At 38.7% G+C, this 27935-nt stretch overlaps 1 protein-coding gene across 15 annotated transcripts in view, besides 1 other annotated feature; it reads right to left on the reverse strand.

Annotated features, from left to right (window-relative positions):
- The window catches only part of TTC13 (tetratricopeptide repeat domain 13), a 72619-nt gene that overhangs the window by 41240 nt on the left and 3444 nt on the right, over nt 1–27935 (reverse strand). For 14 of the 15 annotated variants that reach the window (NM_001376514.1, NM_001376509.1, XM_006711814.3 and 11 more), the window contains exons 2-4: nt 13727–13821; nt 10742–10817; nt 6851–6921 (exon numbers count right to left, since the gene is read on the reverse strand). In NM_001376514.1, coding sequence (NP_001363443.1) covers nt 6851–6921; nt 10742–10817; nt 13727–13821 — 242 coding nt within the window. Of the gene's footprint in view, nt 1–6850; nt 6922–8938; nt 9001–10741; nt 10819–13726; nt 13822–27935 lie in introns of those variants that run through there. The other variant, XM_047430313.1, reaches the window with a different exon arrangement.
- Nucleotides 25379–25618: an enhancer, noted in NCBI's record as "active region_2720". NCBI's record gives its function as "activates an Ori minimal core promoter by ATAC-STARR-seq in GM12878 lymphoblastoid cells {active_cell/tissue: GM12878}" and the evidence as "EXISTENCE:reporter gene assay evidence [ECO:0000049][PMID:35858748]".

The following is a 27935-nucleotide window of genomic DNA, read 5'->3' on the forward strand; positions in this document are numbered from 1 at the left end:
CTTCCCTGGGCCACATTGGGAAAAGAATTGTCTTAGGCCACACATAAAATACCGTAACACTAATGATAACTAATGAGCTAAAAAAAAAAAAATATCATAATGTTTTAAGAAACTTTACAAAGCTGTGTTGAGCCACATTCAAAGCCATCCTGGGCTGCATGTGGCCCATGGGTTGGACAAGCTTGCTTTAGGATAACATACATCTCCAGGAAGAACCAAACCTATGCTCAGATTTGTTATGGTTCAAAATATATTATCCAAGCTGCTTTTCTCCTAACAGAAAAAAGTTTACTCCAGATGACCAAGAGGTGAATCAGAAAAAGATGTAAATAAGCAGTTATTCTACAAATACAACTGGCATCCCCGCACACCCGTGGCCGGGGCTGGTGCTCTGGCATCCTCCTGCTCTCCAGGTCACACACCCCTCACCAAATCCTGGCCATCTCACCTCCTGAACAGATCAGCATCCTCCCACCCACTCCATCAGCCACTGCCCTATTCTAAGCCTTCCTCTCTCACCTAGGATACTGTGATCACCTTACCTGTTCCCATTTCTTCCTATCTATTCTCCAGATATACACCAAGAGTTATCTTTCTAACACTAAAGTCTCATCATATCATTTCCCTAACTGAAATTATTCAGTGACTCCCCAACACCTAATACAGTGACATTCAAACTTTTTAAACTCCAAATCACTGAAATACATTTTACATTACAATCCAGTACACACATACACATGTGCACAATATATACACACATGTATCAGAAAACAGTTTCAGTAGGTTATACCTAGGACTTCCTATACACAATGGAATCTGATATTTTCTAGTCCAGCATATTTCACTTAAAAAAAAAAGTGCTAATCTTGACTTGCCAATTAATTTCAGGACCCACTAAAGGGTAGCAACTCACAATACAAAAAAAAAAAAAAAAGGTAACATCTAAATGGCTCTGCAGAAAATATTAATCATTTTCCTGCTTACTGTTCAGCCTCATCTCCTTCCTCTTTTTTTTTTTTCTTTTCATAAAGACAGGGTCTCACTCTGTCACCCATGCTAGAGTACAGTGGTGCAAGCCTAGCTCACTACAGCCTCAAACTCCTGGGCTCAAACTCCCACCTCAGCCTTTCAAGTACCTGAGGCTATAGGAGTGCACGATCACACCAGGCTAATTTTAAAATTTTTTTGTTGAGATGGGGGTCTCACTTTATTGCCCAGGCTGGTCTCAAGCTCCTGGGTTCAAGCAATCCTCCTGCTTCAACCTCCCAAAGTGCTGGGGTTACAGGCGTGAGCCACCACACCCAGCTTCACTTCATACCCTAGAAATCAGAATCATTTAATAATTCCCTACATACAAGATGCTTTCCCAAATGCAGTGCATTTGCAAATGCTATCCCCTCTGTCTGAAACACTCACCCATTGCCTCGGTCCCCAAGAAATTCCTTTGATCCCTTAAGTCTCAGTTCAAACACCACCTTTGGATTCCTTCCAGACGCCCCTGGAAAATAAATATGCTCCTTCTCCTTTATTCCCACTGTTCACTGTATGGATGTCAGCCATTCATTCCACAATTATTTACTCAGGGCCTACTGTTAGCTATCTCAGGTTCCATGTGCTAGGAATACCATGCAAAGTCATGCTATTCTTGCCACATACTAGGAATAGCAAGCAAAAACCAACACAGAAGACAAAGATTTGCCTATCAGATCAAAGTCAGCTCTGCTAAGCCTATTCTTCCCAAAGGGAAGCAAGCAGGACAACATGGCTAATAATAGTGGGGTGCAGGTCAATGGAAAACAAGAGCCCGATCCAGGGTAACAGGAAGGCAAAGCTCTATGACAGATGTGCCACAGTGAATGACGTATGGTGGCCCTCCAGCTCTTGCAGCTGGAACATTTTTATAGTAATAAAAATTTTAAATTAAAAAAAAAAAACAGCCATTCAAAAATTTGCAACAGCTGAAATATCCGAACACTGACAACTTCCTAAAGGTAGCCATCATCATCTTGACTGCAGGATTGGATGTGTGCCCCACACAGAGGCCCTCGCACGGGCCTCCCCTCAAGTCACCCCATGGTCTCATCATTACTACAGCACTGAATTGATTACTGTGCTTATCTGTAAAGTATTTAGGTTTTCTCTATTCAATTTATTCTTTCCTTTTTTTTTTATTTTTTATTTTTGAGACGAAGTCTCGCTGTCGCCCAGGCTGGACTGCAGTGGCGCGATCTTGGCTCACTGCAAGTTCCACCTCCAGGGTTCACGCCATTCTCCCGCCTCAGCCTCCTGAGTAGCTGGGACTACAGGCGCCAGCCACCATGCCCAGCTAATTTTGTTTTTGTATTTTTAGTAGAGACGGGGTTTCACCATGTTAGCCAGGATAGTCTCAATCTCCTGACCTCGTGATCCGCCCGCCTTGGCCTCCCAAAGTGCTGGGATTACAGGCCTGAGCCACCACGCCCGGCCCAATTTATTCTTTCTTTTTAGAATTTTTTCCTAACAGTCAAGAAGGACATATAATTATTGTGGCTGTTATATCTACAGTCTAGTATTAAGCCTTCCTAAATTTAAATAACAGATTTTATTACTTTTAAAAGTTGATACAACTTTATTTATTATTTTATCTATCATTAGCTAAAAGCCAAAAACTTTTCTTTATGGAATGCCATAGTAAATTATTGGGTTTTTCCAAATAAAAACCAACGTTTATTCCTAAAAACAAATTAGGCTCTGAAGAGCAATTTTTCAAAATATTTTTATAATATTTATACTTTATAAAGTTTTCAGAAACTTTTTAAAAAGTTTCTTTAAAAAGTTTCTATACTCTTAAAAAGACTGAAATGAAAATGAATACTTCAATCTTCCAATTTTACTTTATGCAACTGCAAAATCATGGTATAACAGTTGCCTAAATGGTGTTGTGTCTACTTAGATGTCTCAATTCGCAAAAAAAAAAGAGTCTAATATATTATCCTCATTTCATTACTTATATAGTGACTTTAAATTTTACAGTATTTACTGTATTTACCACTACAAGGCTGGCTTTTTTATTAAAACTGGGAAGTCACTGGATCTAAAAACAAACAAGTCGAAACAGTCAGTAGATAAGCAATGTAATGAGGATTAGATTTCACCTAAGTGACGAACACACATATTTACATAAAGGATGTTATTTAAAATTCTATGCAGAGGAATGTTTCCAATTTTGTATGCTAATGTAAAATAGGAAGTAATATTCTTTTACAAGTTCAGTTCCACTGGAATCAGATCAAAATCAGATGAGCTCAAGGTCACATAATAAATAGCAAAGGCCAAATTATCTCATAAAATTGTTGAAGCATTTATGTTAAACCCATCCCTGCATGAGGACCAAAGCAGCACAGAAATCAGGAAAAAGTTCTACTTTTCAACTCAAGAACACTATTACTGATGCACTGACACACATGGAAATGACTTCAGGGCATTGGCATAGAAGCAACACTAACTTATAAGCTTTAAAAATCAAGAGTTTCCAATGCAGACCAACATCTATTAAACCCTGTCATTGTGCTCAGTTAGAAACCTTGATACTTCTGTAAAGGAAAATCAAACCACAGGGAATAAACATTCCAATAAACACTTTGAAACACCGAGGATTATGGAAATATTTCCCAGGTTTGTAACCTGATGGTGAAACCAAGACAACAGGAAAGGTATAAGAGCTTTATATCAAAAAGTCATTCTGGAGTTAAAATACCCTTTATATGTAGATTTGAAAATCATATTAAATGAGCTTATCAAAACAGTGATTCTAATAAAATCCAAGCCCCTGAGTCCCCATTTGTTGCCTGCTTCTATAAACAGAATAATATTCCATGCTCTGCTGCTTCATACTGGAGCTCATGAGCTGTCTAAAAAAAAAAAAAAGATTGCCAAGAGTTAATGAACTCAAGAAAACCAAAAATTCTGTACATGAATAGCTACCACTTTGTAGATTTGTCAAAGGACATTTACTGGCTTAAAAATACTGCATTTTTGCATATCTAGAAGGTCCTGCAAGGAACAGGTAAAAACTTATTAGCATATACAGAGAAAAATGGTTCTCAAGTGATATTTAGCTCAGGTGCAACGTGAAGAATGAAAAGTAGTAGAGCAACATCTGTGTAGGCTTGAAGAAAAGCTTCATCACTATGCTGAAATACTGGATATGAAAAAGTATTATTGAGATAAAAATGTATTTCATACTGCAAGAAATTTTATCACTACACTTGCCAACAAAAGAAAAAAACAAACAAAAAAGAAAAGAGTAATTAGATTTAGAGAATAATCATGTGTGTGATACATAATTTAAAGAGAATAATTTATGCAAATTATGATTTGTGATGAAAAAAGGATTTTCAGTCAATTGGAGAAGAAGCAATAACTATTCTTTGGACATTTGCTATCACCTACTTTTACAGTGTCTCGATGACACTGGCTATCGAGAATTTGATGAAATCAACAGAAAACTCAAACAGAGACTGCGTGCATCAATTTCAAACATAAACTCTAATATAGAAAAGTTTTGTCCAGAAAAGTAGGATCAAGTTTCTTATTAGAACTTTTGAAAACAATTTTAGCATTTAACATCGAATCTTCGTATTTTCTTTCTTTTTTTCAGAGACAGGTTCTTGCTCTCTAGCTGGAGTATAGAATCTTCGAATTTTCTATTCCTTATCAGTCATATGATACAAAGAAAATGTGACAGATTTTCACAAAGCTTTATCTGGATGCCTCCAAATTATTCTTGTTTACCCATGTGCCATGCAGATATTATTTCCACATCTGCCATGATGTGGAAAGAGCTGGGAAGCACTGAGATAAAGGGTAAGGAGAGAGAAATCACTGAGGAAAGCACCAGCAGGAAAGCCAAGGGCATTCTTGCTGCTAATAAAAATATGTTACAAATGACCACCCAGTTCATTCTTCTGCATCTGAACTTTCCACTGCCTTCATCCCTGCCCCATCAATAGTCTGAACTGCGAGCAAAGCAGTCCAATCTTATAATCCACACATTCTCAAAGACAGATTTCCCAGCTGAAAGCAACCCATTGTATCAGAGATTGATGAAAATACGATATCACATTTCAATACATTATCTTCTTTGCACAAAAAGAAAAATGCTAATATACTTTCTGAACACAATTGCAAGAGAAATGTCTTACAACTATAAATGGACAAAACAAAGGCATATTATAGAGCCATTAAAAATAAGATTGTAGAAAAATACTGATAAACATTTACAGCATAGAATTAAGTGAAAAAGTAATACAAAACAGTACATATATTCAGATTATAAAACAAATGCATACTTTGAAAAGGCATAAATAAAAAATTTAAACAATGTTAAAGTGGCAGAATTCGGAAATTTTTTATTATTTAAAATATTTTCTTTAAGAGTATTATATTGTCTTCAACCACAATGGTAATAACATTTTCAAAAAGTTGAATAAAATAATACATCTGCAAATTCCTATTTTCTGCTGGATTCTACACTCCAGCCTGGTTGCCTTAAATTAACTGATATTTGCTCCTATAAACGTATCAAAACCTCCCTTTCAAACCAGGGTCAGGTGTTAACTGTGTAAAAGTGTTTGCTTACCTTTTATAACATTGCCAATACTTAACAGAAAGGTGGTTTTTTAAACTATTTATAATCTACCCTTTGTACTTTAAATTCTACTGAAGAATAGTGTTCCACATGACCACCCAAATATACCACTCCTTGGATCCAAAGACCTCAAAGTAATAACTAAAAATATCTCATCAATTGTTTGAGAATGAAGATATTATCAGTATAATTAACCTTATTTTTAAAGAGAAAACAAAAGCAGAGCTAAAATTCCAAAATGAATCATTTAAATTAAGTCTGCCTGCTAGACTGGAAGGCATTTGTTGGCACTTGCTACGGTTAACACAGATGAATATACCAGAATGGTACTTTGACTAGCCAAAATTTACTAAGCACTTACTATGTGCCAGGCACTGGGTACTAAGTACTTTAATAGGACATTTCATTTAAACCAAAAAAGAATTTTTTTGGAGGTAGTTATTATTATCTCCATAACTCAGGAGTTTAAATAACTTGGTAGCAAGAAGCAAAGTGGATTAGAATTAAGGCATCTCTAGCTCTAAAATCCATGTCTTCTTCACTGGAAAGACACATCAACAATCAATAAATGGTTAGGCACCAACAGTGCATACAGTTGAATAATGATACAAGATACAAGGCCAATGATGCTGGGCAGCTACCAGCCTTCTTTGCAACTCTTATACATGCAGTGCTTAAATGCTTTATCTTAACTAGACTTTAGTGCAGCCACCAATCAGTAAAGACCCAATACTTCACTGAGGAGTCTCATAATTATACTTTAAGGTGAGAAACATACCTATGAGTAGAAATTAAGTTAATCATGAAGATCAACTCCTGTGTGAAATTAAGCTGGAATTTCAAGAATTTCCAGTGTCTGTATCTCATGGGAGATATTGTGGTAGAGAGGAAAGTGAACTGAAGCTAATGTTTTTTTAAAGCTTGCATTTGAATCCCATCTCTGCAATTTGATGGTCGGGAGACTATGAGTAAATTGCTTGACCTGATTAGATTCCCTTTTCTCATTTAAAATGAAGTTTTCTTTAAAATCTTTCATTTAAAAGATTAAATGAAAGCATGTCACAAGGCCTGGCAGCAAGAAAGTGCTCAGTCCATACCAATTTCTTTCACTTTCTTGTATAATTTAAAAACATGTCGTATTACAGCACTTCAGCTGTTCATTAGTCCATATTTTTGTCATGACCATAAACTCAAAATTACATAAATAAGAAGAAAATTTACCTGAAGCATTGTTGAAAAATGCCGTATTGCTTCATCATACAGACCACTGCCAATCAAGACATAAGCAATAGCTATGAAACAAAATACAAAAATATTAAAGGAAAGAATAAAGTAGTTCTAACTAGAATCAATAACTAAATGCTTTGGTAAATCTCCAAAGGCAGCTCCAAGCACTGGAAGCAGTTAAAGAAAACCTAGAAGTTAATAAGGTGTCACTGAATTCTTCTACTTTCACCACTCCACACTTGCTAATCAGCCTTCCAGTTCCATCTAGATTTAAATTGTTAAAGTCATCTATAAAATATCTGCCTACAAGAGATACTGATCTTTTTCTAAGGCCATCATTCATTTTCAAATCCCAAATAATCTTTGTGATGTCTCCTAGCTATCACAAAAGCTAGTAATAAGCCTAAATAATGTCCACATAACATGGCAATGTGATTTTTTACTGTGAATGTTATGAGAAATACCCAAATAGCATCACAAATCTCAATTCCTGGGAGTGCTGAATTTACTGCCAATTACCTAATAAGAACAAAAACAGGGACTCAAATGTATTAACATAATGCTTAACTGTGGATAATACAAACCACTATAACGCAATGACAGTCTTTTTCCTACTTCTTCCATTCAAAATATAGTCAAAACGCTACTCAAAATATACACTAAAGATGAACCACTTTGTATCACGTTGTTTAGGAAAGTGGTATTTTGAAATTAGAGCCAGGACAATCTCTGAAAACACAGCAATATTCTGACTAAATTCTCCCACCCATCCAAAAACCAGTGTTTGAATATGCTAGATTACATTGCCATCTATAAAATTTGCCCTGACTGCTTGACCCTTAGCCCCGCCAAAATCCCTGAAAAACATTTTATTCCTCACTCAACATCACTATTTTGATAACATTTATTTGCAAAAAAGCTCTTCTGTAAAGCTTTACTGCAATATCCTTTAGGACCTAACAGGTGTTCAAGAAGATAGGCAATGAAAACTTTTACTGTCATTAAGAGCTTATACTTTCTGACAGTTAAAAGCAGTAAAAATAGGCCAGGCGTGGTGGCTTACACCTGTAATCCCAGCACTTTGGGAGGCTGAGGCAGGCAGATCACAAGGTCAGGAGATCGAGACCATCCTGGCTAACACGGTGAAACCCCGTCTCTACTAAATATACAAAAAAAAAAAAAATTAGCTGGGCGTGGTGGCGGGTGCCTGTAGTCCCAGCTACTCAGGAGGCTGAGGCAGGAGAATGGCATGAACCCAGGAGGCGGAGCTTGCAGTGAGCCGAGATGGCGCCACTGCACTCCAGCCTGGGCGACAGAGAGAGACTCCATCTCAAAAAAAAAAAAAAAGGAGTAAAAAATTAAAGCAGAAACAGAAACGAAATGCAGGAAGAGTTTAAAATACATTCATAAATCAATAAAATAAAGTTCAAATTGAACACCATAATAATATAAGCACTTCTGGGGGCATTCTTCAAAATAAAAAGAGAGCCCTTTTGCCCTACTTTCTTTGGAAAGATAAATTAAGCCCAAATTCATGCTCAGAATGCTGACAATAGATACCGTTCAGTTAGCTAACCTCCAGGTAACGAGAGGATACCTTTAGTTTTGGTGGGGGTGGTGGAGGCAGTAATATTAGTAGTAAAAACAGCAGCAAGAATCACAGTGGCTACAGGCATTGCATTCTTAATATGTGCCAGGCACAGTAATATCCTTTACCAGTATTAACTCATTTGCTCCTCCACTGCAATGAGGTAGGTACAATTATTAACCCCATTTTGCAGACAAGGAAATAAAGTAGAAAGTGGTTAAACTAGCTGTCCAAGGACCATAAGCAGTGAGTGAGAGGAAGGCAGCAAGCTGCCTGGCTCCAGAGCCTAACCTCCCAGGCAGCCCGGTACGCTGAGAAAATTCAAGTCAGTTCCCAAACCACTGTGCACTGGAGGGATGGCCAAGGGGCTGAAATTCCTTAATGGTCAGATGAACATGGATAAAAACATAAACTTGTACTTTTTTGAATGCAGGAAGATGACGATTTGATCAGAAAGCCAAGATGTGAGCTCGGATTCTGGCTCTGCCACTCACCAGCCGTGTGATCGTGGGGACCTCAGTCACTTCTCATAACTGTCTGGTCTTGCTTAATAAGCCTGTAGAAAATTTTCTTAAAGTTTCCTTTCAAATCTAAATTTTTATTTCCTATTTATTATCCCATAATCAGTAAATATCTGTTGAATGAACAAATCAATCAATGAGCCATAAAAACAAATATGATTTTTAGAGATAAATTTTGTACTTTAGGAACATATTTAGATGGCTGTCCACATCTAAGTGATTGAATTCCACTTAAAATCAAATGCAGTTTTCAAATCCCTCCACCTAAAGCTCAACATTTTGTGAAAAAAACGCAGAAGTATCCATTCATAAAAGAATAATCATAACCCAAATCTTGTGCAAATACAAATATTAGGATCTAAATTTTGTTGTAGGAGTCTAAAGACTTAAAGGAAAAGCTGGTATAACTGGACTTCTCTCAGAAATCTCTACTCACCAGCAACCCCACATCTCCGAGCAATGTATATGTTCACAGATGTCATTTTTTTCAAGAAAAAATACTGGATACAAAAGATCATAGGCCAGCTCAGGGCCTACACTACCCCAGGGTCTACTAGGATTATTCTTGGAGAACAAAACAGACCTGGCATATCAGGCTCTGAACTCATTATTCAATAAATAAATACTACTCTAAGTAGAATCCAAGGACTTCAGAAAAGACCAGATCTGATGCCTTAAAGGGCAGTCCTCAAAGCCTCCTCAAAGAATATCACCATAAAGTAATTAGCATTTTCAAAATAGCACCCTGGGAGGCCAAGGCAGGAGGATTCCTAGAGCCCAAGAGTTTGATACCAGCCTGGGCAACATGGTGAGTACTGGTCTCTACAAAACAATTTTAAAAAATTAGCCAGGCACGGTGGTGTGCACCTGTAATCCTACCTACTCAGGAGTCCTAGGGAAGAAGATCATTCGAGCCTAGTTTAAGGCTGTAGTGAGCTATGATTGTGCCACTGCACTCCAGCCTGGGCCACAGAGCAAGACCCTGCACTAACAGGAAAGAAGCCAATATAAGGAGCACTTAGTCTTAATATCAAACGTGTATGACCATGGTAAGGATAAAATAATTATGCATAAATTAGATAGAGAAGAATTCCTGCAGGTGCTTTGGTGACTGGGCCCCATGCGAAAACATGTGCTTCAATAGTTTGCCCAGTTGCACTGCTCAGCCCTGTATTCAATTTTGTCTCCACTTCTTCAAATGTAAACTCACTAGACAGCGAGGGAAACACACCCAGTGCATATCTGACACTGACAAAACCAGCCTGTTTTAAAACATGCAATGAACACACCAAACTATGTGACTCGTGCAGGTACGAATGAATTCAATTTTTCTACACCCACATTCTTAGGCCCAAAAATAACTCACTAGCCTCATGAGTAAAATAACTTAAAGTTTAAGTTAAAATAACTTAAACATAGCTATTTCACTATACAGAAAAGTAGGTAGTCTGCTTTCACTTCTTCATTGCTCACATCTGATGACAGCACACAAATAACCTTTTACTGAATCGAAACAGCTCATAAGAGCTCATTACCATAATTATTAATTTCCATAGAAATGGAGAGCTGGAAAAGATTATTCCATCCAAACCTTTTTTTTTTCTCTTGACATATAATAAATGGAATGTCACAAGGGCTGAATGCTCCATGCAAGATCAAACAGCTCAAATTGGCAAAGCCAGTCTCTCTACTCCTTACCATCCTGTCTTCCTGCTATGCATCTAACCAAAACTTTGAGGCAAATATTACAGGAATATTACCAGATTCAAGTCTTACCTAACTCTTCATTTGTGCTGTCATTATCAGTGGCAAACGGGAATCTCTTCTGTTCTGCAATAGACTTGGCCTGGCTCTGGGAAAAAAAAAAAAAAAACCCATACATTTTAGCTATCACAAATGAAAGAAAACTTGTATTAAAATCTGTATTTTAAAAAATTAAAATTAAGGCTACATTTGATTTAAGTGGAAGCAAGAAAATGCCACTATTGTGGGAATGTTTTACACTTTATGGCTTTCAGTAGAACCTTGATGACGAGAGGGAAACTCTTATCAGCTCCTTCTAGTTTTGCTATGCAGCTGGGAGCTTCCACACCTGGAACCTGGTAAAGCTTCAAGATGTGGCAGATTTAACAATGCGTAAGGGTGTTACTGATGATATACAGCTGGGTGTGACCAGAACATGAGCCCTTCCTCTTTGTCAAATGTTTACAGACAAGTTCACAGATGCAAAAGATTTTTCTCCTTAATAAATTGCTTAGATAGACGGGGCATGGTGGCTCACGCCTTTAATTCCAGCACTTTGGGAGACCAAGGTAGGAAGATCACTTGAGCTCCGGAATTTCGAGATCAGCCTAGGCAACACAGTGAGACTTCATCTCTACTAAAGTTCAAAAAAATTAGCTGGACATGGTGATGTACACTGATAGCCCCAGCTACTTGGTTGGGGCTGAGGCAGGAGGATGGCTTGAGCCCGGGAGGTCGAGGCTGCAGGGAGCCCTGATTGTGCCACTGTACCCCCAGCCTGGGCAAAACAGTGAGACTCTGTCTCAAAAATAAATAAATAATTGCTTAGATGGCTTGATTGTGGCAACCATTTCACAACATATATGTATATAAAATCACATTGTACATTGTAAATATATAATTTTTATTTGTCAATTACACCTCAGTGAAGCTGGGAAAAAAAGCAAGTAAATTGCTTAGAGGCAAGAAAAAGAGTCTGTAAATATTGCTTTATTTCATATTTGAGGAGAGTCTACCATTTGCCAAGCCTTTCTGCAAAAAGATATAGGGACGAGGACAGAAATGAAATTCTACAAAAAGAAGAAATCATTTACTAAGCAACCTCAAGAGTACACTGAAGAATATATCTGATTTTAAGTTGTTTGTATTCACTAGAAAGTGGGCAGGAGAAGTACAGTACAAACAAATCAAATTCTTTTTTTTTTTTTGAGACAAAGTTTCTCTCTTTTTGCCCAGGCTTGAGTGCAATGGCACGATCTCGGCTCACCACAACCTCCGCCGCCTGGGTTCAAGCGATTCTCCTGCCTCAGCCTCCCAAGTAGCTGGGATTACAGGCATGCGCCACCACCCCTGCTAATTTTGTATTTTTTAGTAGAGACGGGGTTTCTCCATGTTGGTGAGGCTGGTCTTGAACTCCTGACCTCAGGTGATCCACCCGCCTTGGCCTCCCAAAGTGCTGGGATTACAGGCGTGAGCCACTGCACCCAGCCAAACAACAAATCAAATTCTTGATGAAAAAGACCCTTTCCTATTTCTAATACTGCATCTATAGTATCTCCTCTGGACAGAGTTGAGAAGCTATGCTCAAGTAAGTTTGAACACACAGCTCAACATCACTAGTAGACTAATTTCAATCCAACTTTCTCATCCCTGCTTACACTTCAGTTCCTGAAAGCTGTATTGCCTGATACCCCTAAATAAAGGGAGTTTATGTTGACCCTTTGCTATTCCTTCATATGATGTGTACAATCACACTTTTATGTTTATTTGCATAATGATTTGGTTGATGAGTATAAAAGTCATGGTGCAGAGACCAACGCTATCTGGCTTGCTGCTGTATTCCTAACACTCACCTAGTACAATGCCTGGTACATAATGCAGAGACCAACACTATCTGGCTTATTGCTGTATTCCTAATAATCACCTAGTGCAATGCCTGGCATGTAATAGGTGCCAAATAAATATCTGGAGAATGGATCAATAAATGAATAGTCTAAGTCCCATATTTCAACCTTGGGAAGAGGAAAGGCCAAGACTAACGAGCTTTCTCCCATAGGTCACTAGCTAGCACTAGCTTAAACTGGAAATGCAACTAGTAGAACATATTTTAACTACTCTCAGTAAGAAGACTTTCATAACTCTAAGAATCTAACTGCCTATACAAGATGGGATTATCCAACTTCTACTTAAACACTTTCAGAGATGACCAACTCACTGCTTTACAAGACAGCCCCTTCTGATTTTGGGCAAGTCTAATTCGAGAGTTTTCCATATATCAAGTTGATTACTATGCAGCGAGTTAGGTAAAAGCAGACGATCATTCTCTAGTTTGCAGTTTCAATCCATCTTCAGTAGTTCTCACATGAAAAGGCAAGGCTTTGTTTGAAAAAAAAAAAAAAGAGTATCTTAAAAGGAAATTTTAAACCGAAGATGCAAAGAGTATCTATGCAGATGTTGAAGGAAAAGGCCTGGAGAAAAAATACATTAAACTTGGACACGGAAAGAACAATCAGCTTCATAGAGTTAAGTGTGAACAAAAAGAAGACCCATCCCTCTTGAGGCAGCCAGGCTGGAGGAGGAGATGCACTAACATGGATAGGCAGACGCAAACATTAGCTACTGTCAAGTATTCACCCCTGAAATGGAGAGGTCCACGGTATAGTTTAGTTGGTACTGATAGAAAACATAGATACAAAAGATACCCACATATGCAAAGGTTGGAAAAATAAGAGTCTACTATACCTACAAATACACAAGGCTGCTAGAAATAAGGTTTAACTATAATGTCCCTTTATTTCTTGACACTTGCAAATTAAAAGTTCTATGTCCAGAATAATCAACCATCCAATTCATAAGTCATAATTCAATGTGGCAAAATACCAGACGACCTATCTTTATCCTATGCATGTAGACTCAACGAGGCCCAACTTCTAGTTGACAGAGGCGACTTCCACTTTTTGGAACTAGTATCACTGGGCTTCAGGTTACAAAAACAGAACACAGAGAGAAGATGCATACCAGAATCTTCTCAGTGTTGAGGGAAAGCAAGGAGTCACAGGGTGATGATCCCTTGGGTTCGCAGTCTGAGTCATGGAAGTTCAAAAAGGATGACTCTGAAAGGCAAGCATTCTTTGTTATTCTCTACACCTTAATTTATGCTCTTAGGTGCTTAACTATGAATTAGAATTTTTAGACTCCACAGAACCAAAATAAGAACAGGTGTGAATAACACTAAAAGTGGCAACCAGCTGGGCACAGTGCCTCACACCTGTAATCCCAGCAACTCAGGAGGCTCGCTTGAGGCAAGGAGTTCAAGACCAGCCTGGGCAACAGCAAACCAACCAGGCTGGGTCTCAAACAGTGAGACCCTGTCTCTAGAAAACAAAAAATAGAAGTAGCAACCTGTATCCTACCTTTATAATAGGGTAATGTTTTACGGTTTGCAAGTATCTTGCACAACCATTAGTGATGTTCCTCACCACCATTCTCAAATGAGCAAAGCCAGTGAGCTTCCTGGATGGTTAAATGAGGTTTAAATAGGTTGTAACTTATCTAAAGGCAACAGGGTAGAAAGAGTACTAGTACAATGCTTGTCTCAGGACACATGTGGAACTAATATTGTTGTTGAGATCCTTCAGTCGAACAATCTATGGGGCAGCATTTACCATAGATTAAAAAAAATCACAAAAGGAGAATAAGCCAAACCAGTGAGACTTAAATGTTAAAAGATACACCCTAGGCCAGGCGTGGTGGCTCACACCTGTAATCCCAGCACTTTGGGAGGTCAAGGTGGGCGGATCACCTAAGGTCACGAGTTCGAGACCAGCCTGGCCAACATGGCAAAACCCTGTGTCTACTAAAATACAAAAATTAGCCAGGCGTGGTGGCAGGTGCCTGTAATCCCAGCTACTTGGGAGGCTGAGGCAGGAGAATCGCTTGAACCCGGGAGGCAGAGGTTGCCGTGAGCCGAGACTGTGCCATTGCACTCCAGCCTGGGCAACAAGAGCAAAACTCTGACTCAAAAAAAAAAAAATGATACACACTATGAGTCCAGTATGCAAAATATATAAATAGCTCTTACAACCCAACTAAAACAACACAATTTTAAAAACAGGCAAAGGACCTGTATAGGCATTGAGCACATGAAAAGTTGCTCAACATCATTACTAATTACTACTTAGGGAAATGTAAATCAAACCACAATAAGGTACCTCTTCACACACACACACTAGGATGGCTATAACCAAAAAGCAGAAAACAACAAGCAGTAGCAAGAATGTAGAAAAATTGGAACCCTTGTGCATTGCTGGTGGGAGTGTAAAATGGTACACCAGTTATGGAAAATAGTTCCTTAAAAAGCGAATCAGAATTTCCATATGATGCAGCAATTCTTCTCCTAGGTATATACCCCCAAAATTGAAAAGGGACTCAAACAAGTATTGTATATACATGTTCATAGTAGCGCTAATCACAGTAGCCAAAAGGGAGAAATGGTCCAAGTGTCCATCAACAGATGAATGAATAAACAAATTTTGGTGTATACAGAGTAGAATACTATTCGACCATAAAAAAATGAACTACTGATACACACTGCAACGTGGAAGAACTTCCAAAACATTATGCTAAATGGAAGAAGCCAGACACAAAGGGTCACTTATCATATGACTCCATCTATATGAAATGTCCAGAATAGGTGAATCCATAGAGACAAAATGCAGATTGGTGATTGCCGGGGATAGGGGAAGGAGGGACTAGGGAGAAACTGCTTAATGAGTAAGGGGTTTTATTTTGGAGTGTTGAAAACAACTTGGGGTGGTTGCACATGGTGAATGCCACTGAACTGTTTGCTCTAAAATGGTTAATTTTATATTAAAACATTTCACCTTGATAGATTATTGCAAAAAAAGATATGTTCTAATTCAGCAGTCATTAAAGAGCATTAAATTATGTTCAAGGAACCATCTGAGGGAGAGAATAAATTATAATATCAAAATCAGTCTGTGTCCTCAAAGAACATATAATTTAGCTAAATTCTCACGTGTTGTATATCTTAACAATAAGAAACAAGACATGATATGGTGAAGAAGCCCTGGGGTGGTGAACCATTACTGAAGCTGCAATGTTAAATTTCACAAGGCATAAGCAGGGTTTAAAAGAATGGATGGAGGCTGGGTGCGGTGACTCACACCTGCAATCCCAGGACTTTGGGAGGCTGAGGCAGGCCAATCCCTTGAGCCCAGGAGTTTGAGACCAACCTGGGCATCGTGGCAAAACACCATCTCTACAAAAGAAAAAATTAGCTGGGTGTGGTAGTACATGCCTGTAGTCCCAGCTACCCAGAGGCTAAGGTGGGAAGATCACCTGAGTCCAGGAGGTGGAAGCTGCAGTGAACCATGATCATACCACTGCACTCCAGTCTGGATGACAGAGTAAGACCCTGTCTCAAAATAAATAAATAAATAAATAAATAAATAAATAAATAAAAGAAAAAAGAATGGATGGATTTAGACTGGGGCAGAGAAAGGGAAGGGGTATTCCGGATAGGACGATGAGTGGTACACGCAAAGGTACAAAGGCAAGGAAATGCAAAGGGCAGCGAGGAGACTCCTACTCCCTGGCTAGAGCAGGGAGTTTGTGTTGGAAAAGAAAAAGTATGAGTTTGGAAGGTGAGGAGTCAGACTGCAGAAAGTCTGATCTGAACCCCAACGAAAGGCTTTAGTCCCACAAAAATGAAGATAGTAATGGTTCCTGGCAGATGGTTGGAGAATAATGACTCAATGAAAGATATTTTGGAAACATACACATTTATAACCTGTTTCTCCTGCCTTTTCTAAGCTAAGATTTGAGAACTTACTATATGCCAGGCACTGTGCTAAGCAATGTGTATACCTGGCCTTATTCTAACAATCCCTCTCCTTTGTGGAATCCATTTCAGTTTCAATAAATATACACCTACATAATTTTAAAAGGCTGCACTTAACCATACTTTTATCACTGGATACTTAGGATGTCCCTACTTTTTTCTTAATACGAACAGTATTTCAGTAAGTATTCTTGACCTATATTTTTGAAAATGTACCCACTTACAATAGATTCCAACAAATAAAATTGCCAAGTCAAAGGGTGTGCACAAGTTTAATATTTTTCATATATATTGCCCCAATTTCCTTCCTAGCATATAATAACAATTTCATTCCTACTAGAAGTTTGAGAAGGTCCATTTCCCTCCAGAGTACTGACATTCTTTTTAATCTTTCCCAATCTGAACATACCACTAATAAAGTTAAACTTTTGGTTTATTGGCCATTTGTATCTCCACTTTTGTAAATCACTTATATCCTTTGCTCATTTTTAAGTCATCTAAACCTATCCTTGCAAAAGATATTGAAAAAAATTCCTAATTATCTATTTTCCAAATGGTTAGCCAGTTGTCCCAGCACCACTTGTTAAATTATCAATTTGAATGCCACCTTTATAATACATTATAGACATTAGGATCTGTTTCTATACTTGCTTTTAAAGGAAATCTTTAAGATTATTTAAATCCAGCTATAGTAACCAAAACAGCATGGTACTGGCATAAAAACAGACACACAGACTAATGGAACAAAATAGAGAACCCAGAAACAAATCTACACGCCTACAGTGAACTCATTTTTGACAAAGGTGCCAAGAATACACACTGGGGAAGGCAGTCTTTTCAATAAATGGTGCTGGGAAAACTGAATATCCATATGCAAAAGAATGAAACTAGACTCCTATCCCTCACCATATACAAAATGAAATCTAAATGGATTAAAGACTTAAATCCAAGAACTCAAACTATGAAACTACTACAAGAAAACGTTGGGGAAGCTCTCCATGATATTCATCTGGGCAAAGATCTCTTGAGTAACACCCACAAACACAGGCAACCAAAGCAAACAAGGACAAATGGGATCATGTCAAGTTGAAAAGCTTCCCCACAGCAAAAGATACAAGCAACAAAGTGAAGAGACAACCCACAGAATCAGATAAAATATTTGCAAACTACCCCTCTGACAAGCGATTAGTAACCAGAATATATAAGGAGCACAAACAACTGTATTGGAAAAAATCTAATAATCCAACCAAAAAATGGGGAAAGATTTGAATAGACATTTCTTAAGACATACAAAAGGCCAACAGGCATATGAAAAGGTGGTCAACATCATTGATCATCAAAAAGTGCAAATCAAAACTACAATGAGATATCATCTCACCCCAGTTAAAATGGTGTATATGCAAAAGACAGATAATAACAAATGCTGGTGAGGATATGGAGAAAGGGGAACACTTGTACACTGCAGTGGGAATGTAAATTAGCAGAACCACGATAGAGAACAGTTTGGAGGTTCCTCAAAAAACTAAAAATTGAGCTACCATATGATCCAGCAATCCCACTGCTGGGTACATACCCAAAAGACAGGAAATCAGTATATGGAAGAGATATCTGCAATCCAATATTTGCTGCAGCAGTGTTTACAATAGCTCACTCTGACACCCAGACTAGAGTGCAGTGGCACGATCTCGGCTAACTGCAGCATTGACCTCAGCATCCCTAGTAGCTGGGAACACAGGCATGCACCACCACACCTGGCTAATTTTTCATTTTTATTTTTTGTGGAGACAGGGTCCCACTGTGTTGCCCAGAATGGTCTCGAACACCTGGGCTCAAGCAATCCTCTCGCCTCAACCTCCCAAAGTACTGGGATTACAGGCATGAATCACTGCACCTGACTTAAATTTTCTCCTAATTACTTAAACTTGGTAGGATTATATATCACTTTTCATTTAATATTTTTAAAATAAATTTTTAGTTTTCTATAAGAAACTTTTGTTTCCACACTTTCTAATCCCTTATAATGATCTGTTTGTTTTGATTTCAGTATCACATTGTTTCAATTATTGTAGCTTCACAATAAATAAATGTTTTTTGGTTTTTATTATTTTAAATTGATACAGAATAATTGTACATATGGGGTAGAGGGTGATATTTTGATTCACAATACATACATTTTAATATAAAACAAAGCCATTATCAATTTTATTCCAAAACTTTCTTGGCTATTTGTATAAACATTCTTTCTTCAGATAAACTTCAGTCAGTTTTTTAAGTTCCAAAACAAAAAAATCTCTCTATGATTTGTGTTAGGATGGCATTAAAATTGTAGATTAATAGGAGAAGAAATACTTCTTTATAAAATTTGATCTCTTTATTTAAATATTTTATTAAACTATGTGAAACTTCATAAATTTTATATAGGATTTACATGTGATTTTTTAAATTGGGTTGATAACCATTGATTCAATACATATTTGTTGAGCATCTACTATGTTCCCATCACTGTGTTAGCCTCTACTGAGCAAAACCAGAAATGACCCTTCTTCTACAAAGACATTATAGTTCCCTGTGGGAAAACTGATAGCAATCAAAGTACACAAAGAAACATAAACCAACAACAGTGTGAGAGCTACACATGACAGCACAGTCAGAAGATATGGCCTGGTCAGTTTCCCGAGGACGTGAATAACACCAGCTAACACATAGTTACCGTGTACAGGCAACCTTAGAATCCCCATTTCAAAGATGAGGAAAATGAGCCCGAGGAACCTGCAGTAATCATCCTGACGCTACCCTCTAGCAAAGCAGTGGAGGGAGGATCTGAACCTAGGCAGTCTGGTTCTGGAGTCTGTGCTCTTAGCCATGAATAAGTGAATGGGGACCTGAGGGAAATTATGGATTTCACCATGGGAGGCTATGGCACCGGGAGAGCAGTCAGGCAGAAATACCAGCACATGGTAAATCCTTTGTCCAACTGCCTAGTGCTGAATATTTTATCTGCCCACATTACTGAACTCTTTACAGCCCTATTAATGTCTCCATTTAGTCAGCTGGTAACTGTATTATCTGCACGTAATTTTATCAAGGTCTTTTAAAATATTTATATTAATTTAGCACCTTATTATACTAGATGAAACTTCCAAAAAGTACTCAATAACGCCACTGATTAACAGGCACCCCTGCTTATTCCTGACATTAATACTTCATTTAATAACTGAGATTTCATCAACTTTTGATGATAAAACTTTTTCACCTAACATTTATCAACATCCAGTGGAAAGCTGCTCTGTGTCAGCTATGGGTTGAGACTGATGTACTTCACCATATAAAAGAAGTATTTTCCTATTCTATTTTTTTTTTTACCAGAAACTTTAAATCAGGAGAGCTTGCTGACCTTTATCAAGCACTTTTGAAATTTATTTAAGATGTTTCTATGATTTTTCTCCTTTGGCCTATTAACAAACTAATTTAATTTTTTCAAGTTGAACCATCTGTGTACTTCTAAAACAAACTCTGATTGAGGTAGATCATTCTTTTAATTGCTTGCTAATATTTTACTTAAAATTTTTATAACTATGTATGTATCTTCTAAGGTTGCAATAGAAAAATAGTTGCTAGAGTTATAACTATAGTTGTGTGGAACAGGAGGTTAAATTTGTTCTTCGATCTTAAAATATTTAACTCACTATGGCTTTAATTACTTTACTATCATAAATGATTATATTAAAGGATAACTACTTAATATAATAAATAATTACAGCCCAACCAGCTGTACATAAATAGTATAAATTTCCTTGGATAGGAAAAGCATTAGTTTTCTTCCTTGCTTACGTCGTACAAGTAAAGTTAGTGCTGATTACTATAGAAACTGTGTGAAAACGCATCACAGAATTCTATCTTGTTCTTCTACATCATCTCTGGACATTTCTTCACTGCTTCAGAGTTTAATGTCTTAGCAGAGATTTCTGCACAGTTGCCTCTTAAGTTCTCATGGCCTCTGGAGCTCTGCGCATGCCTCTCATTCACAACTGACACTTGCACCTGCTCCCTCTTTCTGTAGTCACCTCATCAGGCTTATCTATTTTATTCTTCTTTTTTTTATCACTTAAGAATTTGTTTTCCTATGGTGGTGGGGGGGGGGCCTTTTTGTTTTATTGTGGTTAAAAAAAAAACACACATCACATAAAAGCAATCGCCTTAGCCATTTTTAGTTTGTATGGTTCAGTAGTATTAGGTATATGCACACTGACCTCCAGAACTTCTTAATCATTCTTTTTTTAAAAAAACAACCCGGGTCTATTTCTCAATTCCACTGCTGCTTTATTTCTAATTCATTTATACCAGCTTTGCTGTATTAGGCCTTCTAATTTCCCTTATTACCTCTTCTCGCAGCTCAAGTTCAGCATCTAGTTCATTTATTCCCTTTCTTCTTAGCATTAAACTAAGAAGGCAGGATGAGTTTAAGCAGGAGGCGACATCACTAACAGGTGTCTAAGGAGAGAAGGGGCAAGTAGAGCAGGGGGCAGGTGGGAGGCCATGGCCAGTTAAAATGAGCAAAGTCTGAATGGAGGCAGCAGCCATCGGGTTGAAATAGAGGGTCACGGTCTAAAGGATACAGCAAGTAAAAAGGAGAGGGCCTTGAGGAAGAATTAGGCACAGAAAGAGGGAAAAGACACAGGTTTCCAGTTTGTGCAATGAGGGAAGAAGTGGTGCCATCAACGGAAACAAGGAGTTTAAGAGGAAGAGAGGTTTTAGAGGGAAGTCAAGAGCTAACTTTGGGCTTGAGTCAAGTGATTACGCTGGAAGCTCTCTAGCATGTAGTTAAGAAAGTCCAGAGAAAGGTAAATACTACAGATATGGATGTGATGATTTGATAATCATTAACTTATGGTGGATGATAAGCTGAGACTGTAAGTACAGTCTCTAAGAAAGCTTAGGGGGCTGGGTGCGGTGGCTCACGCCTGTAATCCCAGCACTTTGGGAGGCTGAGGTGGGCGGATCACGAGGTCAGGAGATCGAGACCACGGTGAAACCCCGTCTCTACTAAAAATACAAAAACCTAGCCGGGTGCAGTGGCAGGCGCCTGTAGTCCCAGCTATCCGAGAGGCTGAGGCAGGAGAATGGCGTGAACCTGGGAGGCGAAGCTTGCAGTGAGCCGAGATTGCGCCACTGCACTCCAGCCTGGGTGACAAAGCGACACTCCATCTCAAAAAAAGAAAAGAAAAGAAAAGAAAAAGAAAGCTTAAGAAGCTTACGTTTAATAAGAGAAGAGTTGACCTGGTGAAGATGAGTATTTAAGAGATAGTGGGAGAATCAACTTAGCAATTTATCTTTTGTTAAAAGAACTATCCATTTCTTTGAAAGGTTCTACATCTGGGCCATAAAGCTGGATACAGTTATTATAATGATTTTCATATTTATTATACTTGCTTATTCCTCAAGCCAAATACTTGTTTCTGCTCATTTTTCTTGATTAGGCTTGCTAGATAACTGTCTAATCTTAAGCAGTATTTTCAAAGAACTAGGTCTTATATTTAATTCTAGTATTTCTCTGACTTCAAACTTAATTAATTAGTTTGAAGGCAATGTAACAGTGGCTCAGGGCAGGGCTATGGAGTCAGACTAACCCAGATTAGATGCTTCCCTGACTGTTTGACTTAGAGCAAGTCCTTTAGTACGTCTTAGCCTCAGCTCCTTCATCTGCAAAATAGAAATAACCACCCCCAGATACCTTCACAGGGCTACTGTGAAGAATAAAGGGTATAAAGCCCTGTGCACAGAAAAGGATTGTTAAATGTTAGTATAGGCTTATAGGCTAAAATCGCAGTGTTTTTTTGTTAAATTTTTCTATCTGCTTTCTTTAAGCTTATCTTGGCCTTCACAGTACTTCCCAGCTTCCAAATACCTTCATAAACCTCATTTCTTTTGATTCTCCATCCTCCAAGGTAGATACAAGGCACACTGTGCCCACTGTACACATGGGGAAATAAACTCAATGTTAATGAACATGTTTAAGGTCACAAAACAAAGACATAGCACAGCCGGGTCTTGCCACAGCAATGAAGAACATGGTACATTTGTCACAACTCCTTCTGCCAATGCTGGGTCCTAGTAATGAACAGTTTAGGTATAGCAGTGTCTTGAAACTTCTTTCCTCTCCTCCTAAACCTCACACACAACTGACCTTAAGAAGAGCAGTTTCAGCACATTGACGAGGACAAAAGCTAACCATAGAAGGTCCAAGAGAGAGTGGAGTGGTGGAGGCAGTCCATATGAACATCTCCTTTGAGGAATTCTGCTGTAAAAGGAGGCAGAGGGATGGGGCAGTGGCTGGAGGGGTGTGTGGTCATCTTAGTTGCTTGTATTTTCAGGATGGTAGTTTTATTAAGACCATCTGTATGCTGACGGAAGACAAGAGGAAATGAGAGCCAGTGAACAGAGAGCTGAACTAGGCAGAGGCACCGGCCACTCATCCACCACAACAGGACAGAAGGCAAAATCTACCAGTCCATCTGCGGGCAGGCCAGTAGCTGGGGTGGTGGGGAGCAAGGAAGTTGTTTTCTCACTGCTTCTTAGTCAAATAAGATGACAGTCGTCACCTCCAAGGAAGGAGAGAAGGTGGCATTGGCAGTAGCATGTATTTCTCACACATCCATGTGTGTGAGAAAACTGACTGAAAGCTTATAAGTGGCAAACCCATGGCCAATTTATAAGGAAATCAACAGCTGCTGGGTAGCACTTATCACTCGACCACCTAGTTATAACAGACAGCACACTGAGCTACTTGAAAATAAGGATGACTGGGCTTTTCCCTTGGATGAGCTACAACTTAAAAGTAGAGTGCCAGATATTTATTGACAATCCTAACCCCAGGTATAGGGTAAACCTGCGAAGAGAAGACAGAATTCTTGTGGCTGAAAGAACTACCTGAAGGCCAGGTGGCTGTGTGGTATCAACTTGTAGTGCCTTTTGCTTTTATCAATTTCTGCACTTATAAGACAACCACAGGTGGCCAGGCGCGGTGGCTCATGCCTATAATGCCAGCACTTTGGGAGGCCGAGGCAGGCGGATCACGAGGTCAGGAGATCGAGACCATCCTGGCTAACATGGTGGAACCCTGTCTCTATTAAAAATACAAAAAAATTAGCCGGGCGTGGTGGCGGGCGCCTGTAGTCCCAGCTACTCGGGAGGCTGAGGCAGGAGAATGGCATGGACCCAGGAGGCAGAGCTTGCAGTGAGCCGAGATTGCACCACTGCACTCCAGCCTGGGCAACAGAGCAAGACTCCATCTCAAAAAAAAAAAAAAAAAAAAAGACAACCACAGTTGACATCATATACTGCATTGCTCAATGGCCCCGAAATATGGTCCCAAGTGGTAAATTCCTTTGAGAGTGTAATAACAGGAAAAATGCTCTGAAGAATTTATATGCTTCATTTAATGAAATGAAATATTCATCGGTACCTGAGATGTATTATCGTAAAGCAAATTGAAAATAGACACTGCCTGCTGATTATTAAATTATAAAGTAAACATATAATTAATCCATAGGAACTAAGGATCCACAAAAGCCATCTTAAAGAGACAGAAGTTTTTTGTTTTTTAACAAAGCTTGAATGTAATAGGATCAAAGGTATCTTAACCCACATACAAATATAAACATATGTAAAGAATCAAAAGAAAAGGAATTCACTGCACGGGATGGAAAAACAGGCACAGTAGCAAATTACATGGAACAGAACAGAAGAAGGATGCCTTAACCAACAAAACAGGCCTTCCCCACAAAGGCCAGTTACTTAGCATAAGGTTATAAACTAGATTGAAGATGCATCAGATGCTCAAAGTGACACATACTTTTAAGAGCTAAAAGCTTTCTCATAAGCCCACACATACTGGCAGACAACATCAACTCCACAGGGAATGCTGAAACAGAGCTAGGCACTGACATGAAAAGATTAGTGACAAGGGAACACAGAGTCACTGAGAACATTGCAAACACCAGCAGGGAAGAGTTGCAAGAGAAGACAACTGGTCTTCTTGTGCAGAGGTGGTCCTGAGATGCACCAACTGATTCCTAAGTGAGAGTCTATGGAAAGAATGCCAGCACATGTGCAGTGTAAGTCCACTGCATGGTGCTGGACTCTAAATCAGACAAAACATTTCCCAAATGAAACTAGGGTTAGCATGGAATGAGACTATCGGCAATCTTAAAAACAGACAGCTATTGATTTCGGTTCTTTCTGATTACATCAGTTGTTCAGCTTATGAAAACGTATTGAGCTATCTACACTTAGGACATATGCACTCTCCTGTATATATGTTGTATTTTGATAAAAAAGTAAAACCAAAACATAAGAAAAGGAATATGCTGGAAAGCATTCACCCAAAGTATTAAAATTCTGCCGCTTTGATAAATTATTTATTCTATCTGCAAGATAAGATGAGCCCAAACAAAATGACCTCTTTAAAACAACTCATTGTGAAAGGGAGAAGGTTTAAAAGTCAGTCAAGTATATATTGAGTGCAGTGAAGCTAAACTGTCTGTACATTGAGTGGTGCACATTGAAGAGCCTTGACTTTCCTACAGTCATGCTCCAGGTAGGTTCTAAAACCCAAGTCACACCATTTTTGCCTCCACCCAGAGATTAAAAAATAATAATTAACCCTTATCACCTGAAGTTGAACAGGTTTAGCAGTATGTAGATCTTTTAAAAGGTAGATGTAATTCTTAATGACAACAGATATACGTGAAAAAGCGAATCATAGGCTGCCATCGTCATAGGGCTTATGCTATAAAATGCTACTTCTAAACCAGAGGATTTGCTGAAAGATGCTGTTCAGTGAGCAAAAGGGAAACACCCTCTGGCAATGCCACAGGGGCCAGGATGTGGCAAGATCACAATCTCTTCATCACTCTGTGCCTCAGTCTCTGAGCACAGCGACTTTGCACTGGCAAATTTACTCAGGAATGCCTTGAAAAACAAGATATGAAGAGGTCTGCCATGAAACTATGTATGATGACAAACACAGAAAATCAGGGCCAGGAGATGAAAGGATTGACCAGATACACTCACAGTAATGGTTACCACAATTGCTATGACTGAGCACAAAATGTGGTTCTTAACTTCCTCATAGAGCAAAAAAGGAAATAGCTCTCATAAGTTTCCTTCTATTGATTCTCTACCACCTCTAGGCATAGCAGTGATCTATGTGCTGTGAGCAAAAAGACTGACTTCATGTATTTAAATGGCCAATTCCTTAATTAAGAAAGCTACCATATACATGGACAATCTCAGTGTTACCAATTTTGTCAAAAACACAGAGCTAGGTTCATAGCTACTTCCTTATTTTTCTGGCAGTTCACAATTCTCAAATTGGACAAACAGATTCTAAATGCCTTTTCCCATAAAGAACTGTGGGAAAATAGAATAAATGCAATTCTGCTTTCATTGATTTCAACAAACTAATGAAAATTAAGACATCAAGTACAGGGCTGCATCACTCAAGAGCAGTGAAAAAAGGCTGAAGGCATTGGAAAAAAAGATTCACACAAACTCACTGTTCTTGTTACTACTACATTTTCAAGGCGAGAGGAGAAAACAAAAGTATTTTTAAAACAACTTCTAGAAATGCATATGCTTGAACCATAAAATATACCTTATACTGTCTGTAAAGAGTATAAAGATATAATTTAATACATGATTTGAAAGAGATGCAGTTTAGCTTTGGTAAGAAGAGCAGAGGGGCCGGGCGTGGTGGCTCACGCCTGTAATTCCAGCACTTTGGGACGCTGAGGTGGGCAGATCACGAGGTCAGGAGTTCGAGACCAGCCTGGCCAACATGGTGAAACCCCATCTCTACTAAAAATACAAAAAATTAGTCAGGCTTGGTGGCAGGCGCCTGTAATTCCAGCTACTTGGGAGGCTGAGGCAGGAGAATCACTTGAACCTGGGAGGCAGAGGTTGCAGTGAGCCGAGATCACGCCATTGCACTCCAGCCTGGGTGACAGGGCGATACTCCATCTCAAAAAAAAAAAAAAAGAAGAGCAGAGAACCTGAATTTTTAAATCAATGAACAAGTTACAAATTTCACAAGACCTTAATGTAGCAGATCTACAGAGTGTTGAATTAAGATATTTCTAAGATCTCTCCAAATCTCACTCTATCTAAGTCTCAGCTCAAATGTCTCCTTACCAGAAGCCATCCCGGGGCACCTCTTAAAGTAGCACCTACACACTGCTCTTTATCCTCTCACACTGCTTTATTTTCAAGGCATGTATTACTGGGCCCTACTATATAGAGTCATGCGCCACATAATGATTCGGCCAATGATGGACCACGTATGTGTGAGAATGGTCCCATCAGACGGTAATACCACATTTTCACTGTACATTTTCTGTATTTAGATACACAAACACTTGTCACTATGTTACAACTGCCTACAGTATTGAGTACAGTAACATGCTACAGGTCTGTAGCCTAGAAGCAATAGGCTATACCATACAACCAAGGTGTGTAATGGGCTATTCCATCTCGGTCTAAGTACACTCTTTGATGTTTGCACCATGATGAAATCGCCTAACGACACATTTCTCAAAACATACCCTGTTGTTAAATGGTATGTAACTGTACTTATTTCTTCCCTCACCAAGACACAGGATCCACACTAGGAACTCAGTCAGCTGTGCTGCATCACCAGGGTCCAAAATACTAAGTAGCATCTAGCAGGTATACAAATAGTTTTTCAATGAAAGAACAGACCCATTCTAGTCCTGCAGTTCAAAACACTAGGTTCAGTGAAGCATCCTTGAATTTGTAGTCAAAGACAAAATTCTAATAGTGATTTAAGAATATAACTTTCAACAAAGCTTGAAGTTATAGGACTTCATCATTAATATTAGTAAGAAATTATACTAATATGCAACAATTACTGAAGATAACACACAAATGGTCAGGTCAGGTTCAAATCCTGGCTCTACTCTTTACTGTATAACCTTAACTTCTCTGTCTCAGTTTGTAAAATGGGGATTAAAAACAGCATTGGCCAGGCACGGTGTCTCACGTCTGTAATCCCAACACTTTGGGAGGCTGAGGTGGAAGTACTGCTTGAGTCCAGGAGTTTGACCAGCCTGGGCAACATAGCCAGACCTTGTCTCTACAGAAAAAAAAAAAAAATAGCTGGGCATGGTGGCACACGTCTGTGGTCCTAGCTACTTGGGAAGCTGAGGCAGGACGATGGCTTCAAACCAGGAATTTAAGGCTGCAGTGAGCTATGACAGCACCAATGAACTACCTCCTGGGCAACAGAGCAAGACCCTGTCTCTAAAAAAATAGAAAAAACAACAGCACCTACTTCAGTATCAAAAG

Source organism: Homo sapiens, chromosome 1 (genome assembly GCF_000001405.40).
Source record: "Homo sapiens chromosome 1, GRCh38.p14 Primary Assembly".
NCBI classification, from domain to species: domain Eukaryota; kingdom Metazoa; phylum Chordata; class Mammalia; order Primates; family Hominidae; genus Homo; species Homo sapiens.